This window comes from Homo sapiens, chromosome 14 (genome assembly GCF_000001405.40).
Source record: "Homo sapiens chromosome 14, GRCh38.p14 Primary Assembly".
Lineage (NCBI taxonomy): Eukaryota > Metazoa > Chordata > Mammalia > Primates > Hominidae > Homo > Homo sapiens.
Window position 1 is genome coordinate 103,039,137 of NC_000014.9, and position 17,618 is coordinate 103,056,754.

Here is a 17,618-nt window from a genome sequence, read left to right on the forward strand (position 1 = left end):
AAAATACCAAGAAAGCTATCCAGGCCTGGACAGCTTCACAGGTGCATCTACCAAACATTTAAATAAGAGTTATTACCAATTCTTCACACTCTTCCAGAAAAAGGAGAACACTTCCTAAATCATTCTATAAGGCCAGTATTATCTTGATACCAAACCAAAAAAAAAAAAAAAAAAAAGACATACAAGGAAAGAAAACTAGAATCAATTACCTTTATGAATAGATGCCAAAATCTTTAACAAAATACAATACTAGCAAACGAAATTCACAAACACAGAGAAAGAATTATATACCATGATCAAGTGGGATTCATCCCAGGAATGTGAGGTTGGTTCAACAAACAAAAACCAATTAATGCAATACACCATATCAACAGAAGAAAACGAGCCACACAACTATCTCAATGGATGCAGAAAAATCACGACAAAATCCAACACCCTTTCACATCAAAAACTTAACAAACTAGAAATAGAAGGAAACTTCCTCAACCTGAAAAGGGGCATTTATGAAAACCCGCAGCTAATGCCACACTTAATGGTGAAGGCTACACGCTTTCTCCCTAAGATCAGAAGAAAGACAAGAATGTCCCTAGTGCTGTTTCTACCCTACACTGTACTGAAGGTTCTAGGCAGGGCAAGTAGACAACAAAAAGAAATTAAAGGTATCCAAGTTGAAAAGGAAGAAGCAGAACTATCTGTACTCACAGAGATAATTTTATATATAAAATTTATATGATTTTTTATGTAAAAATTCTAATGAATTCACTAAAAAAACTACTAAAACTAATTAAAAAGTTCAGCAATTTTGCAGGATAAAAGATCAATATATAAAAATCAATTTACCTCAGGAATAAATTTAAGAAAGTAAGTGCAACTCTTACCCCTGCACTGTGAATTTAATTAATGCCACTGAATTGAACACGTAAAAATAGATAAAGTGGCCAGGCGCAGTGGCTCACGCCTGTAATCCCAACACTTTGGGAGGCCAAGGTGGGTGGATCGCCTGAGGTCAAGCGTTCGAGACCAGCCTGGCCAACATGGTGAAACCCTGTCTGTACTAAAAATACAAACATTAGCCAGGCGTCGTGGCGGGTGCCTGCAATCCCAGCTACTCGGGAGGCTGAGGCAGGAGAATCGCTTGGACCCGGGAGGCAGAGGTTGCAGTGAGCCAAGATTGTGCCACTGCACTCTAGCCTGGGCGACAGAGCAAGACTCCGTCTCAAAAAAAAAGTTAAAGCAGCAAACTTTATGTATTTTTACCCCAATTAAAAAGAAAACTAAACAACTCTCACTCTGAAAACTGAAACTTTTTTTCAATTAAATTTAAATTTATTTATTTATTTGAGATGGAGTCTCACTCTGAAGCCCAGGCTGGGGTGCAGTGGCGTGATCTCGACTCACTGCAACCTCTGCCTCCCGGGTTCAGGCGATTCTTTCACCTCAGCCTCCCGAGTAGGTGGGATTACAGGCGGCTGCCAACACACCCAGCTAATTTTTGTATTTTTGTAGAGACAGGGTTTCACCATGTTGGCCAGGCTGGTCTTGAACTCCTAACCTCAGGTGATCCGCCCACCTCGGCCTCCCAAAGTGTTGGGATTACAGGCGTGAGCCACCATAGCCATTCTTTATTTGAATTTTAAAAGTTCTAAATAAGTGGAAAGGCATCTTATGATCGTGGGACAAGAGACTTTAATACTGTTAAGATGGCAATACTCCCCAAATTGACCTACAGATTCAATGAAATCCTTGTAAGAATCCCAGCTGGCTTACTATTAGAAACTGACAAGCTGTTCCTAAAATGCATATGGAAACTCAAAGAACTTAGAAAGAATTGTCAAAACAATCTTGAAAAACAACAAAGTTGGAGGACTCATACTTCCTAATTTGAAAACTTACTACAAAGCAACAGTAACCAAGACAGTGTGGTACTGGCATAAGAAGAGACACATATATTAATGGAATACAACCGAGAGTCCAGAAAGAAACTCATACATTTATGGTCAACTGATTCTGACAAGGATTCTAAGACCATTCAACGGGGGAAAGAATATAGTCTGTTCGACAAACATTGTTGGAACTGGTTATCTGCGTGCAAAAGAATGAATGTAACCCCTCTACCTCGTATCATAGCAAAAATTAATTCAAAATTGATCAAAGAACTAAACGTAAATGCTAAAACTAAAAAACTCTTAGAAGAAAACACATGTATAAAAGAAAACACAGGTATGAAACTTTGTGACCTTGCACTGCCAATGGATTGTTAGATATGACAGCAAAAAAAACAACAAAAAATATTTAAATTTGTTTTCCTGCACAGAAGGGGCTCTAGGCAGCCATGGCGCCCAGCCAGAATGGCATGGAAGCCCCACTTCCACAAGGACTGGCAGCTGGCTCGTGGCCACATGGTTCAACCAGCCGGCCCGAAGATCCGCAGATGCAAGGCCGGGCAAGCTAAAGTGCCCCACATTGCCCTGCACACCGCGTTGGGACCCATCCGGCCCATCGTGTGGTGCCGCACAGTGCGAAATCACACCAAGGTGCGCACCGGCCGCAGCTGCAGCTTGGAGGAGCTCAGGGTGGCTGGCATTCACAAGAAGGTGGCCCAGACCATTAGCATCTCTGTGGATCCAAGGAGGCAGTACGAGTCCACCGAGTCCCTGCAGGCCAAGGTGCGGCGGCTGAAGGAGCACCACTCCAACCTCACCCTCTACCCCAGGAAGCCCTCGGCCACCAGGAAGGGAGACAGTTCTGCTGAAGAACTGAAACTGGCCACCCAGCTGACAGGACCGGTCATGCCCATCCCAAACGTCTGTAAGAAGGAGAAAGCCCAAGTCATCACCGAGGAGAAGAATTTCAAAGCCTTCGCTAGTCTCCACATGGTCCATGCTGACGCCCGGCTCTTTGGCATACCGGCAAAGAGACAAGGAAGCTGAAGAACAGGATGTTGAAGACAAAAAATAAAGCCCTCTTGGGACTTGTAATAAATCAGCAGTTTAAAAAAAATAAGTTAAATTAGACTTCATCAAAATTAAGAACACCTGTGCTTCAAAGGATACCATCAAGATAGTGAAATGACAACCCACAAAATGGGAGAAAATATGTGCAAATCGTATGTCCAATATGGGGCTTGTATCTAGAATATACAGAGAACTCTTAAAATTCAACAAAAACACAACCCAATTTTTTTTTTTTTTGAGACGGAGTCTCACTCTGTCACCCAGGCTGGAGTTCAGTGGCGTGATCTCAGCTCACTGCAAGGCTCCGCCTCCCGGGTTCACGCCGTTCTCCTGCCTCAGCCTCCCGAGTAGCTGGGACTACAGGCGCCTGCCACCATGCCTGGATAATTTTTTGTATTTTTAGTAGAGATGGGGTTTCACCATGTTAGCCAGGATGGTCTCCATCTCCTGACCTCGTGATCTGCCCGCCTCGGCCTCCCAAAGTGCTAGGATTACAGGCGTGAGCCACTATGCCCGGCCAAGACAACCCGATTTTTTAAATGAGTAAAGAACTTGAATAGACATTTATCCAAAGAAGATATACAAATGTCTAATTAACACATGAAAAGATGTTCAACAACATCCGCTATTAGGGAAAAGCAAATCAAAACCACAATGAGAAACGACTTCACACCCACTAGGACAGAAAACAACAAGTGCTGGCAAGGATGCGGAGAAACTGGAACCCTTGTGGGCTGCTGGTGGGAATGTAGACCACTGTAGAAAACAACCTGGCAGTTCCTCAGGATGCTCAACACAGAGCCTTCACACGACCCAGCAATTCCACTCTGAGGTATACACTCGAGGGACATGAAAACATATCCCACAAAAACTTGTACATTAATGTTCAGAGAATAGGTATTAAAAATAAACAAAAGGTACTTTGGGAGGCCCAGGCAGGTGGATCACCTGAGGTCAGGGGTTTGAGACCAGCCTGGCCAACTAGGCGGCCAAAAGCCACCTCTACTAAAAATACAAGAATTAGTCAGGCGTAATCCCAGCTATTTGGGAGGCTGAGGCAGGAGAATCGCTTGAACCCAAGAGATGGAGGTTGCAATGAGCCAAGATCACGCCACTGCACTCCAGCTTGAGAGAGAGAGCAAGACTCCATCTGAAAACAAACAAAAACACCAAATAAATAAACAAAAGGTAAACAGATGTCCATCAACTGATGAATGGATAAACAAAATGAGAGCTGTCCACACAACGGAGTACTATTTGGCCATAAAAAGGGATAATGCACTATATACGCTACAACATGGGATGAACCTTGACAACATGATGTCAGTCATGAAAGACCCATATTATATGACGCCACTTACAGAAAATACCCAGAACAGGCAGATATATAATGAAAGTAGATTTGTGGTTGCTCAGGGCTGGGGTGGGGGTAGAGTTGGGGATAATAGCTAAAGGTTACAGGGTTCCTTTGGCGGTGATGGCGAAGATGGTTGCATGACTCGACGAATATACTAAAACACACCAACACTGAACTGTATGCTTTAAACAGGTAAATCATGCATGACTTGAATCTCGATAAAGCTGTTACAAAAAAAAAAAGGAAAAAAATTATCTGGTAATTGTAAATGGCAGAGAAGCCTTTCTTCTTCACTAAAATAAACTATTAGCAGTATAATTCAACTTAAATTTCTCTATATTGCTGACAGCTGGTTTCTGTTTAAAACTCCTCCTAACATATTATGTCACAAGGATTATCAAAACTTCATAAACACAAATCTTGCTTTTTAAAAAAAATAATTAAATATTTGTAGAAGGAAATATATCCAGGCTTATCATTTTGGTTACATAAAACCATGTCAATGTCTGATGTTTTGAGAAATATTTCTTGTTATGACACAGTATAATATCAATGCCATCCCTGACACCTTAATTAACTGGTAAAACTGGAAATAGAGCATTTCCAGTAACTTCTCAATTCGCTGCTAGTCAGACAGTATTTCCCACATATTTGAATTCAGTTTCATTTTAAAGGTACATCAGAAAGCTGCTCTATTAATAAACAAAGACTTTTCAACAATTTGGTTTCAAATACTTCGGGTTAGAAAACAAATATCCATTTAAGACAGAGCTGCAAAATTATTATTATTACTTTTTGGAGACAGAGTCTCACTCTGTCGCCCATGCTGGAGTGCAGTGGTGCAATCATAGCTCACTGCAGGTTCAACCAATCCTCCCAAGTAGCTGAACTACAGGTGCACACCAACACAGCCGGCACCTTTTTTTTTTTTTTTTTTTTTGAGACAGAGTCTCGCTCTGTCACCCAGGCTCGAGTGCACTGGTGCAATCTCAGCTCACTGCAACCTCCACCTCCCGGGTTCAGGCAATTCTCCCGCCTCAGCCTCCTGAGTAGCTGGGACTACAGGCGCCCGCCACCATGCCCGGCTAACTTTTTGTGTTTTTAGTAGAGATGGGGTTTCACCAACTTGGCCAGGATGGTCTCGATCTCCTGACCTCATGATCCGCCAGCCTCAGTCTCCCAAAGTGCTGGGATTACGGGCGTGAGCCACCACGCCTGGCCCTAATTTTTTTAATTTAATTTTGCAGAGACGGGGGTCTCACTATGTTGCTGAAGCTGGTCTTGAACTCCTGGGCTCAAGCAATCTTCCCACCTCGGCCTCCCAAAGTGCTGGGATTGCAGGCGTGAGCCACCGTGCCCGGCCTCCAAAATTAACCTTTAAGGATTGCTGCATAACCACTGATAAAATCAACATCTTTCTCAATAGTAAAGCATCAGTAGAAATGGTATTTCAAATTGAAGTATAAGATGGGTCAGGTGTGGTGGCTCACACCTGTAATCCCAGCACTTTGGGAGGCCGAGGCAAGAGGATCCCTTGAGCTCTGGAGTTCAAGACCAGCCTGGCCAATATAGGGAGACTCTGTCTCTAAAATAAATAAATAAATAAATAAATAAATAAATATTGAAAAATAAATTCGGCTCACCAGTTTTTTAAACAAAGTGATAGACTGAATTATTTTAATTCAATGATTTTGCACTAACAAGGGTGAAGTACAACACAGCAAGGACCCTGAAGTGCTGTTTTGGGTGCTGTGGCAAGGGAGTTCTAGTCACCTTTGCACCTCGCTACGTTATTTATGTTTTTAGAGAATGATGAGGGGCAAGAATATTTCTTATTCTGCTCTGGTTTATTTTCAATGGGTGATTTCCTACATACCAAAAGCTCTGGAGGTTAAACACAGCTCTATGACATTTCCAGAAAGATGAAGTTTCTATAGGCAACTCCTGCATCACAAAAGCCCAGCTGTGAACAGCCCCACATCACGTGGTCTCCACAGGGACCCCTGCACCCTCCCAGCCCCGAGGAGCAGGCGCTGTCCAGCCACCCGAGGAGCAGGCGCTGTCCAGCCACCGTATTTCCACTTTCAACACTTCCTTCAGGTACTCCCTGCTTCTTCACATTCTCATAACCCCCTTCTCCTCTCCTCCAATGCTTGTACAGCCACGAGAGAAAAAAGAAAAACCTGCTCTCCTGTCGTCCCATTTCCTCCTTCTATTCATGGGGGACTCTTTCAAGTAAGTAAGTGTAAGAATAGAAACAGCAACACATCCAAATCAAAACAAAGAGGAACTACACTCTGACTTCGTGCAGAGTTGAGAGCTGGGGCGTCTCGCACACCTGGAAACCACAGCGGCGCATAATCACACTGCCACGAGCCTCAAGGACAACGTGAGCTCCAGGAGAACAGGAATTTTGTTTTCTTCACTGCTGCAGTGCCTAGCACATCTTAAGTCCTTAAAAAATATTTGCTAAGTGTACGACAAGGGATGACAGCAGACTAGAAATGTCAACACGATTTTGCAGAGTGGGAAAAAGCAAATGGACGAGTGGTATCTAACTCAGCAAAGCCAGAAAACCAGAACTTAACTGCGCAGCAGGGGCAACGAGGCTGGGGAATGAGAAGAGGCGCTCAGATCTCTGAAGGCCTGAGGGTAATGGGCACAAAAGAGCATCCGCTTCAAGTCTGTGGGAGAAGCAGTCAGATCCTCCCCCACCAGCCCTCCTCCACCTCAGCCACCTTCCCAGAAACTGACAGCTATGCCCCCCAACCCCTAAACCCCAAGCAGGAGACTGGAAACTCCTCTCTAGGGAGACTTACAGCCCCAAAATAAAGAATTCTATCACTAACTTCTGGCAGTGGCCCTCAAATTGGCAGGGTCCATGCTCTATTTCCTCATGGTGAGACTCAACACTTAAAGTCGGCCCTATGCATACAGGGAGTTTCCAATCGTCCCATTCATAACCATGGAAAGACAGCCAGTAATCACCAGAGTTTCGGAGAGAAGCCTCTAACAAAGAGAATGACCAAAGTAGAAAACAGGTGAAAAAGAACGCACAGGAAACAGACAAGGTAGGAGGCAAAGGGAAAGAAACATCTACGTAACAAACGTGTGCAGGAATCAATAAAACATTAAACAAAGAAATGTGTCTAAAACGCACTGCCTTCATGAAACAGAAAGAGGATGTTACAAAAAGGAATACTGAGAACAACAACACTTTTTTTTGGAGACAGTCTCTCTCTGTCACCCAGGCTGGTGTGCAGTGGCGTGATCTCGGCTCACTGCAACCTCTGCCTCCTGGGTTCAAGCGATTCTCCTGCCTCAGCCACAAGAGTAGCTGGGATTACAGGCACCTGCCACCATGCCCGGCTAGTTTTTGTATTTTTAGTACAGACGGGGTTTTGCCATGTTGGCCAGGCTGGTCTCCAACTCCTGAGAGTTGATCCACCTGCCTCGGCCTCCCAAAGTGCTGGGATTACAGGCAGGAGCCGCCGCGCCCAGCCTTACATTGAATTTTTGTTTCTGACACTGTATCTTTCATTTTTAAGTGTTCTTGGCTGGGCGCGGCAGCTCATGCCTATAATCCCAAGCACTCTGGGAGGCCAAGGCGGGTGGATCACGAGGTAAGGAGTTCGAGAACAGCTTGGCCAACATGGTGAAATCCCATCTCTACTGAAAATACAAAAATTAGCTGGGCTTGGTGGTGGACGCCTGTAATCCCAGCTACTTGGGAGGCTGAGGCAGGAGAATCACTTGAACCTGGGAGGCGGAGGTTCCTGTGAGCTCAGATCACGCCACTGCACTCCAGCCAGGGCAACAGAGTAATACTCTCAAAAAAAAAAAAAAAAAAAATTAGAACAAACATTAAAACTACAGTATTATCAACAAAAGTTCCCCAGAGCTGAAGGACCCAAGCGTCCCAATCAAAAAGACCCACCAAAGAACATTAGAGATAAACAAGAGTTCCCTGAAAGCTTCCAGAGATTTTACAAAAGAAAAGTCCCACACAGAGACTTGGAAACCATCGTGGTCTCCGACTTCTCATTACCAACACTCTCAGTGTAGACAGCAATGCCTCCATGCTTTCAAACTTCTGAGGAACAATGACTTCCAACCTAGAATTCTGTACGCAGGCAAAGTGCCATTCAAATGTGAGGGAAGAAAGGGCATTTTCAGCCAGGCATGGTGACTCATGCCTGTAATCCTGACACTTGGGGAGGCCGAAGCGGGCAGATTCCCTGAGCTCAGGAGTTCGAGACCAGTCTGGGCAACATGGTGAAACCCTGTCTCTACTAAAATACAAAAAATTAGCTGGGTGTGGTGGTGTGCACCTGCAGTCCCAGCTACTCGGGAGGCTGAGGCAGGAGAACTGCTTGAACCGGGAGGTGGAGGTTGCAGTGAGCCAAGATTGCACCACTGCACTCCAGCCTGGGCAACAGAGCAAGACTCTGTGTCCAAAAAAAAAAGCATTTTCAGACAGACCTGGTTCAAAAAATTCACCTCCGATGAATTCTTTCTCAGGAAGCTACTAGAAGATTCACTCCACCAAAAGATGAAAGACACAGAATCCAGAAAGGGGAATTCAACAGAGGAAAGAGACACGAAGAATCCCTGCAAGGAATGAAAAGCACTCCAAGGAGGACTGCTCAGTAGCAGGCCCGCAGGACACCCGGCCCAGGCTGAAACAGAAAAGTGGCAGGCCTGGAAGGGATGAAGGTGATAAGATTATGTGAGGTGTTTAATGGAGGAGTTCTAGTTAAAAGCCTGGCACTAAATTCATGACTGTACATTGAAAACCAAGCTAAAGAAAATTCGGCCGGGAGCGGTGGCTCACTCCTGTAATCCTAGCACTTCAGGAGGCCAATGCGGGCGGACTGCTTGAGGTCAGGAGTTCAAGATCAGCCTGGCCAACATGGTGAAACCCCATCTGTACTAAAAACACAAAAATTAGCCAGGCATGGCTGGGCGCGGTAGCTCACGCCTATAATCCCAGCACTCTGGGAGGATGAGGCAGGTGGATCACGAGGTCAGGAGATGGAGACCATCCTGGCTAACACGGTGAAACCCTGTTTCTACTAAAAATACAAAAAAAAAAAAAAAAAAAAAAAAAAAAATTAGCCAGGCATGGTGGCGGGCGCCTGTAGTCCCAGCTACTCGAGAGGCTCAGACAGAATGGTGTGAACCCAGGAGGCGGAGCCTGCAGTGAGCCGAGATCGGGCCACTGCACTCCAGCCTGGGCGACAGAGCAAGACTCCGTCTCAAAAAAAAAAAAAAAAATTAGCCAGGTGTGATGGTGGGTGCCTGTAATCCCAGCTACTCGGGAGACTGAGGCAGGAGAATCACTTGAACCCGGGAGGCGGAGGCTGCAGTGAGCCAAGATCATGCCACTGCACTCCAGCCTGGGCAACAGAATGAGCCTCCATCTCCAAAAAAAAAAAAATTTACTCCATGGGATTATTATAAGAAAAGAAAATAAAGAAAATTCACTCCAATAACACAAAACTATTTCCCTTAGTAAACTGTATCTTACATGGCTTAGCTGTGAAGACAGTTACCTAACAATAAGAATGCAGACACTGAATTACCAATTTAAACAAAATTATATAAACATATTTGGAACACAGAAAAAGAGCAAGGGGTGAATGTGTTTCAGGCAGTGGAGGGACAATGTAGAACAGTTCTAAGGCCTCTTCTACAGCAGAAGTCAGCAATGTCTAAAATGGTAAAATCAGAAATTAGCAGTACCAGCATGCTACACAGAAATATGAAATTTAAGGCAGGCATTGCTAAGCACCCACCAATATCCAAGGATCTTCTATAGTAACATCCCACCCCCGGCCTGCTTGGCTGAAGGAGGGTGGGATGGCCACCGTCTCAGATGGTGGCCTGAGGGTGGGAAAAGGCCACAGCCCCGGAGGCCTCTTGGAGCAAGGCTGTCCAACTAGCACTGACTGCTGACACGTCAACTTCACGTGAGAGAAATCAACCTGATTTTATTTAAGTCACTGTCACTTTGTTCTCCATTACTGGCAGCTAAATGTGATCCTAACTAAAATGATAAGTAGAAACAGAGCAGTTAAAAGTGGTAGTCTGTGGGAAGTTGGAGCGCGGAGCAAGCGACTGGTAGAGGGACTGCTGTCTTGCACTACAACCCAGTAGTACCGCTTAGTTTCCAAAACTAAGTAAATGCATTACATTGATAAAAGTTAAATGATGTTAAAAGAAAATCACCCCATGGGGCATGGTGGGAAGTGCTGTTAACCTTAACTTTTTTTATTTATTTGAGACAAAATTTTGCTCTTGTTGCCCACGCTGGAGAGCAATGGCACAATCTCGGCTCACTGCAACCTCCGCCTCCCGGGTTTAAGTGATTCTCCTGCCTCAGCCTCCTGAGTAGCTGGGATTACAGGCGTGCGCCACCAGCCCGGCTAATTTTTGTATTTTTAGTAGAGACGGGGTTTCACCATGTTGGCCAGGCTGGTCTTGAACTACTGACCTTGTGATCCACCCGTCTCGGCCTCCCAAAGTGCTGGGATTACAGGCATGAGCCAACACACCCGGCCATAACCTTAACTTCTAAAGCTAAGATTAGATGCGTCTTTTGGGGTCAATTTCAAATTCTAATACTGAATTGTGGATATCAGACTTTTTATTTTAAAGGCAACAGAATATGAAGGCATTGTAGTTTTGGAAAGGCAGAGTGATGAAGAGAGTTTGAGACTGATCTGGCAGAGGTATTTAAAACTTCAAGTGGGAAAGGCATTCATTTAGGCCTGAGGACCTGAGAGCTTTACCTAGGTCCCTGACAATGAGAATAGAAAGAAAAGGCTAAAATAAAATAAAGATATTTCAAAGCAGGCACCTGCAAGGAGGCCTGAGGCTGACCGCAGTCCTGTGAAGGACAGAAATGCTGGTTAGAGGGCTGTTTGCCCAGAAACGGTTAGGGAAAATGCTCAGAACCTGGTTTACCCAACCTGAGTGGGGAGTGGGCTGGAGGGCAGGTTAACATGACCTCCCCAAATTCCTAACATAGCGGAGCGCAGTGGCTCACACTTATAATCCCAACATTTGGGAGGCCAAGGTAGGAGGATTACTTGAGCCTGAGTTCAATTCCACCCTGGGCAACACAGCAAGACCTCGTTTCCACAAAAAATAAAAAATTAGCCAGGTGTAGCGGTGTATGCCTATTGTCCCAGCTATTCAGGAGGCTGAGGCTGGAGGACTGCCTGAGCCTGGGAAGTCAAGGCTGCAGTGAGACATGACAGAGCCACTACACTCCAGCCTGGGTAACAGAGCAAGACCCTGTCTTGGGGGGAAAAAAAAAAATTCTTAACAGTTTTCCAACCTATGACTCTGCAATTTTGGAGGTCAGGGAAATCATCACCTAAATTAACACTGGGAATCACCTTACAATAGGTCCCAAATGTTCTCCAAAGACTCTCCAATCCAAGGACCGAATTTGAATGAAATTATATCATTCCATTCAAATTTATGTTTGAATTTCTAATTCCTAAGAAAAACAAAAATCCAAAGAAGTTCTCTATTACACATCGATTTTTTGCAGTTTTAATCAAAAAACAATTTTGTTGCCACTGTTACCTACCAATCAATAAAACTAACCAAAAACCTAACCCCCAACACAGATTGTTTAAAATCAAACTGAAACTTGACCTTTATCTCCCAGTTAGTGGCTAGTGTATTTGGGGCGGGGGGGCGGGAGATTACTACACGCAGTTCACATTGCCAAAACACTTCTGATTTTAGATTTAAGGAGAGGGTGTTTCCTCTCATCCATTCTCATTAGCAAGAGAGGCTTTCTGTGAGCTTCTCACACAAATTTAAGGTAACCATAACATACCGTCATCCCATAACACTAAGAATCTAAGAAAAAAACAAACGTGGTCAAGGACTAATAGGTATTATGTTATGGGTTTTGGGATGAGATTACATGGTAACATTGTTTTTAGTCTCTTCCAGCTAAAAAAAAAAAAAAAAAAGCTTTGTCTCTTTTCAGAGAAAAGCATTTGACAGTTTCACTGTATTTAATATAGTTTGGAATTAACAGTCCTGTGTGCCTGCCTGTTTATCCAGTATCACTAATGTCAGCGCAACCAGGAGACATCTAAGGGCACCTGGCTTGCGACAAGAGGCAGGGCGGAGGCAAGCAGAGGAGCTCTCTGTCAACCCTGCAGTGTTGTGAGTTCTGTAATTTACATGCATTTGAGTATTTTGCCTGAAGGGCAATTCACTGCACATTTTAAACTTTTTCAGGTAGCTCACACAGTGGTATCCTGAAGTGAGAACTATTTCTTCAAATCCAATTTTATTTCTTTGAAGTCTAGATTTAAGAGAGACACTGCTGCTCACTGTGAAGCCCAACTGTCATGGAAGGAAGAGGTTTTTTGTTTTTTTTTTGGAGACAGGGTCTTGCTCTGTTGCCCAGGCTGGTGTGCAGTGGCGCAATCTCAGCTCACCGCAACCTCTGCCTCCTGGGTTCATGAGATCCTCCTGCCTCAGCCTCCCAAGTAGGTGGGACTATGCGTGCCACCACACCCGGCTAATTTTTGTATTTTTAGTACAGACGGGTTTTCACCTTGTTGGCCAGGCTGGTCTCAAACTCCTGATCCACTCACCTTGGCCTCCCAAAGTGCTGGGATTACAGGTGTGAGCCACCACACCCGGCCTGAAGTTTTAAGACAGAAAAGGTAGGGCTGGGTTGTTAATGTTTAATGGTTTCAGCTGTCCTATCTCATGCTATTATAGTCAGTATCAAACAGCTACCATAGAATCTACATGATCTAAATTAGGTTAAACTAATTTTTATCATGCAATCCTAACATTTCCCTATAATTCAGATCTTACTCAAAAGATCTATTTCTTAAGTCTGTTATTTTTAAAAAGTGTTCCCATGTTATGCAAATATTCTATCCAGAGAAATCATTAAGATAAAAATGTATTTGAGCCGGGCACAGTGGCTCACGCCTGTAATCCCAGCACTTTTTATTATGAGATGTTTAGCACCGTGTCAGTTAAGCCTTACTTATTAAATTCGGTGGCATCATCCCACTCACACCTTGGGCTGGCCATTCCCACACTAACAGCTATGGGCATTCACATCCATGGAGGAGGACCGTGAGAAGATACTATCACACTCATGGTGAGAAAAGCCACAAATGAGGAACCACCCAGAAGACTAGGAGGATTAATTCTATTCATGAAGAGGAAGCACATCTCGAGAGAAGATGCCCGGACTGGGGACTGGAAACCCACGGTCCGCCTCTGTGACACCAGCATCAAGCCTGAGGCCTCCCTCCTGGTCTGACGGCCACACAGCAGCCAGGGCAGAGGACCACTGTGGCCTGTCCAATGCCCATAGGCTAGGATTTCAAACATCAGCTCCATCCAAACGCAACATTAGCTGTTACAAATAAGCTGTGGGAAAAATATTTAACACATAAGACAGTATTTGTATATGACAAAGATGAAAGACAACAAATTCATCTCACTGGGTTGTCCGTATTTGTTGCTATTTACTTTTGGAAACTGTAAAGTGTTTCATATGTTCTGCTTCAAATGGTATCAAGATATTTTCAAAATAGCTTAAAGAAATATACATGCAAGGCCAGGCGTGGTGGCTCACGCCTGTAATCCCAGCACTTTGAGAGGCCGAGGAGGGTGGATCACGAGGTCAGGACTTTAAGACCAGCCTGGCCAAGATGGTGAAACCCCGTCTTTACTAAAAATACAAAAATTAGCCAGGCGTGGTGGCAGGCACCTATAATCCCAGCTACTCGGGAGACTGAGGCAGAGAATTGCTTGAACCCGGGAGGCGGAGGTTGCAGTGAGCCAAGATCGCACCACTGCACTTCAGCCTGGGCAACAGAGTGAGACTCCGTCTCAAAAAAAAAAGAAAAGAAAAGAAAAGAATACACACGCAAAGCTGGGCATTAAGGTTCAAGATTTCATAGAGGAAACCAATCAAGCTATAGGAAAATTAAAGACAAAAACCTACAATGAAAGTTGAAATGACTCGGCCAGGCACGGTGGCTCACACCTGTAATCCAAGAACTTTGGGAGGCCAAGGGGGGCAGATCACGAGGTCTGGAGATCGAGACCATCCTGGCTAACACGGTGAAACCCCGTCTCTACTAAAAATACAAAAAAATTAGCCAGGCGTGATGGCGGGCGCCTGTAGTCCCAGCTACTCAGGAGGCTGAGGCAGGAGAACAACGTGAACCCGGGAGGCAGAGCTTGCAGTGAGCCGAGATCCCGCCACTGCACTCCAGCCTGGGCGACAGAGTGAGACTCCGTCTCAAAAAAAAAAAAAAAAGTTGAAATGACTCTTGTCCCATGCGACCACTGTGGCAATAAGAAAATATGAGCCAAAAATAATCATATTTTATTTATTTTTGAGACAGGGTCTCACTCTGTTGCCCAGGCTGGAGTGTAGTGGCATGATCATTGCTCATTGCAGCCTTGACCTCCCAGGCTCAAGTGATCCACCCACCTCAGCCTCCAGAGTAACTGGGACTACAGGTGTGCGCCACCATGCCCAGCTAATTTTTATATTTTTATAAAATTTTATTTTGACATTTATTATAGATACTGGGTTTTGTCAGGTTGCTCAGGCTGGTCTTGTCTTCCTGAGTTCAACCAATCCTCCACCTTGGCCTCCCAAAGTGCTGGGATTACAGGCATGAGCCACTGCACCAGGCCATAATCTTCCTTTAAAACTTAAAAAGTTTACTACCTATACTTTCCAAATTTCCTCACATATTCCCCATTAAGCCTCCAAATCTGGGCTGAATCAGCTACTTTTCTTCCTTAAGTTTCAAGAATTCTCCATAATTGTCATTAGATACCTGGCAAGATTTGGGAAGTGGGGAAAGGTTGGCTTTTCCACGTGACAGGAATCGACATATCAGAGGTTTCAAATGTCATGGAGTGGTGAATCCAAAAACTGAACAGTCCACTGATGGACAGCCTATATGTGTTTCCTGAGCAGAAGTAATTCCACTTGGAAGTTAGAGTACCTAATATTGCTCTATAAATAGTTTTATTCAAAAACATTATTCTGTGCTTTCCAATCGAAACAACCAGGCAATTCCAAGCAACATTAAATACTAACTGCACACATGTTAACTAGAAATACACCACTTTAGAGTTACAATGACGTATATGTTAACATAAATGAGTTTAAATACTTGTAAAATATATTGATATTTCATTAAAACACCACCTTCTAAGTCCATTCTTCCCTATAATTGAAAGTTTATACTTTTGTGCAAACTGAGTTCCTGAGAATAATGTAGTTTGTAATCACAATTTCCAAAGAGCCAGAATACAACTTTGAAAATATGTCTATGTTACAGCACAGTTCCCGTTTAGATTTGGAAAGGCCAGATCTCATAAAATATGACCTCCACACATGCTGACAAGAGCTTCCTCCAGGGAAGCCCACCAGTAATGCCTGGTGGAGAGAGGTGGCTGCACAATGGCCCCCAGGGCCCCCGCCCTCAGACTAATCTTCTAGGTCCCAGGCCAGAGGCCAGTGGGACCACATCTTCCCAGCAAAACCAACTTTCCCTCTGCTTCCTCTTCCCAGTCACACTCACAGGTGGTGCACCAAGTTGAACCTGACAGTGGAACTGTGTGGGTTTCAAGATCGAGTGATCAGAAAGGAACGGTAAACAAGCTGGGTGCAGTGGCTCACGCCTGTAATCCCAGCACTTTGGGAGGCCGAGGCAGGTGGATCACCCGAGGTCAGGAGTACAAGACCAGCCTGGCCAACACTGTGAAACCCCTTCTCCACTAAAAATACAAAAATGAGCCGGGCATGCTGGTGCGTGCCTGTAGTCCCAGCTACTCGGGAGGCTGAGGCAGGAGAATTACTTGAACCCAGGAGATGGAGGTTGTAGTGAGCCAAGATCATGCCACTGCACTCCAGCCTAGGCAACACAGTGAGACTCGTCTCCAAAGAAAAGAAAGAAAAGGTAAACAAAATATTCAGATTTTAACATGCACCAAAGACCTCACTTTCAAAGCAACGGTGAAGTCAATTAATTATTCAGTTGGAAATCGTGTCACTGACAAAGGACGCTAGAAAGCAAATACTCTTAATTTACTGATACTATAAGTAACCAAGAATGGTGGTTCCCACGGAAATAAAGCATCACAGGCTGTCCTTGATCTCAGGACCTCTTTCTACTGCTGCTCTCACAAGATACCGTGTAACATTTCACTACAGAGTAATCCAACAGAAGCCCTCTAAAGAATATTGCAACTTAAGTTTTATTTGTAAACAAAATTCCAAATTCCAGTCACCAATCTGGCAGAGTAGAGTAGGAGGCCTGGAGGCCTCACTGTGGAACACTTTCATTTGTTTCTTCGTATAAATATCAGCTTTATCAGCCCCAAAGATTAGAAATTACTGGTTCGAACTGAACAGTCCTAGCCCAGTGACGCAAATGACCCAAGGATAAGGTTTTCATAGGTTTGGCCTGAACATACGCATTTCCTCCTCCTACTCAGTGGTTTTAGGTGAGACAGTCTGAGGGTCTTGACCGGCACACCCGTTAGGGAGAGATGAAGTAAAAGAGTTTCACGCTGCACTTTTACCTGTCTTTAGGATCCTAATTATCGTTAAATGGTTTAATCAAATTTTTGTCCTAAAAAAGCATAATAGGTTAGCTGACCAATGATTAAAACATTATAGATCCGGAACGAACTAGAGAAGGCATGCAAAATTCAGATGAGAAAGTTTCTAAGTGATAGCTCCAGCTACCCCTCCAAATATCACAAAGGTCTAGCAGAATTGGAATTAAAAAAAAAAAGTCCTCTTGCACGGTTTATTTAAAATAAAGCCTTAACCTTAAAATTCCCTTGAAGGTGTTACAGCAAAGTAGGTATTCAGGCTCTGACCAACAAGGGGATGTAGACAGGCTGTCACCCAGGAGGGGCCGTTAGAGCTGGGCTCCCTGGGGATGCAAGGGGGTCCCACGGGGCAGTGGGCGAGGCAGATGCAGAAAGCACACCCAGCTGCCCCCACAACGCAGAGAAGCGTGGGGTGGGGAAAGGGAACTAATTCCACACTGCCTCCGGACCCCAAAGGCGAGGTGCGGGGGCGGGGGCGGGGGCGGGGGCGGATATCCCAGTGAGTGCTGCAGGAAATGATATCCAGACTCGGAGGGTGGATCTAGGAAGCCGCCAGGGCGAGGGCCCGGCGGGGGGGAGGGGGTGGGAGTGGGAACGTAGGATGTGGCTCCAAGGGGCAGGATGAGGGGGCGGGACGATCGAACGCGGATGTC

At 44.8% G+C, this 17,618-nt stretch overlaps 1 protein-coding gene and 1 pseudogene across 8 annotated transcripts in view, besides 1 other annotated feature; one reads left to right on the plus strand and one right to left on the minus strand.

Annotated features, from left to right (window-relative positions):
- Positions 1–17,618, minus strand: part of CDC42BPB (CDC42 binding protein kinase beta) — a 125,170-nt gene that overhangs the window by 106,757 nt on the left and 795 nt on the right. The window lies entirely within an intron of this gene.
- RPL13P6 (ribosomal protein L13 pseudogene 6) lies at positions 2,300–2,990 on the plus strand (annotated as a pseudogene).
- Positions 5,118–5,167: a silencer, noted in NCBI's record as "silent region_6137". NCBI's record gives its function as "represses an Ori minimal core promoter by ATAC-STARR-seq in GM12878 lymphoblastoid cells {active_cell/tissue: GM12878}" and the evidence as "EXISTENCE:reporter gene assay evidence [ECO:0000049][PMID:35858748]".